Source organism: Homo sapiens, chromosome 17 (genome assembly GCF_000001405.40).
Source record: "Homo sapiens chromosome 17, GRCh38.p14 Primary Assembly".
NCBI lineage: Eukaryota > Metazoa > Chordata > Mammalia > Primates > Hominidae > Homo > Homo sapiens.
The window spans coordinates 44,511,019-44,512,054 of record NC_000017.11 but is presented as its reverse complement, the minus strand read 5'-3'; the positions used below and the strand labels follow the sequence as shown (position 1 = coordinate 44,512,054).

At 48.4% G+C, this 1,036-nt stretch overlaps 2 annotated features.

Moving 5' to 3' along the window:
• Positions 1-50: a silencer, noted in NCBI's record as "silent region_8594". NCBI's record gives its function as "represses an Ori minimal core promoter by ATAC-STARR-seq in GM12878 lymphoblastoid cells {active_cell/tissue: GM12878}" and the evidence as "EXISTENCE:reporter gene assay evidence [ECO:0000049][PMID:35858748]".
• Positions 95-660: an enhancer, noted in NCBI's record as "OCT4-NANOG-H3K27ac hESC enhancer chr17:42588763-42589328 (GRCh37/hg19 assembly coordinates)". NCBI's record gives its function as "activates a minimal SCP1, AML or CMV promoter by ChIP-STARR-seq in naive H9 embryonic stem cells {active_cell/tissue: H9 hESC(naive)}" and the evidence as "EXISTENCE:reporter gene assay evidence [ECO:0000049][PMID:30033119]".

Sequence of the window (1,036 nt, the reverse complement as noted above, 5' to 3'; positions counted from 1 at the left end):
CTATATATGCAGAGGCTGAAGGAGGCAGTGTTTGATTTGCATGGGACTCAGGGGATTGGTTTGACTAGGCATGTCATTCACATAGCCCACGAAAAAGCTGGCCCTCCCACCCTAGCCTTTTAATATGCAAATACAGGGCGCTGTGATGTTCTACACACATGGGATATGTAAGAGTGGCCATGTTGCCAGAAACAACTGGGAAAAGGGCAAGAAGGCCGAAGGAATCTCCATATTTGGGTGGATCCAGTTTCTGATGACCTGCATTTACATATCAAAGGTTGCTGGCCTGGCTATAAGAGCTGGGGCTTTACAAGAAACTTTTCCGGAGATGCTTTAAAAAATGAAAACTTCCCAAGGACCCCTTTTCCTACAACATTCCCCCCTGTGGAGATGCCACACTAACTGCTGTTAGGGGGTTTTGGGCAATGACTCTTTCTGGCTACTTCCTGCTGAAAAGGGGCTTCGAATGGGGAACAGCAGCTAGGGCTCCTCCTAGAGTCGATCTATGGGTCGTCAAAAGAATGGCGTGTCCCTGTGTGGTTCAGTTTACAGCACCATTTGGAGTTTGATTGCTTCAGTCTGATGATTGAATTGCCTTTCCCGGACCATGGACAAAATTATACGCTTCTGATGAGTGGAGGAACACCAGGGTTCTTGGTCCTCATGCTGGTTTAGATAAAATGACACGGACACACGTGGAGCGTTATTTTGTTTCTTTTTTTTTGCATTTTGTTTCTTTTTTTTTTTTGAGATAGAGTCTGGCTCTGCTCTGTCACCCAGGCTGGAGTGCAGTGGTGCCATCTGGGTTCACTGCAACCTCCGCCTCCCGGTTCAAGCAATTCTTCTGCCTCAGCCTCCCAAGTAGCTGGGACTACAGGTATGTGCCACCACAGCCGGCTAATTTTTGTATTATTAGTAGAGATGGGGGTTCACCATGTTGGCTAGGATGGTCTCGAACTCCTGACCTCATGATCCACCCGCCTGGGCCTCCCAAAATGATGGGATTACAGGCGTGAGTCACTGTGCCCGGCCTACG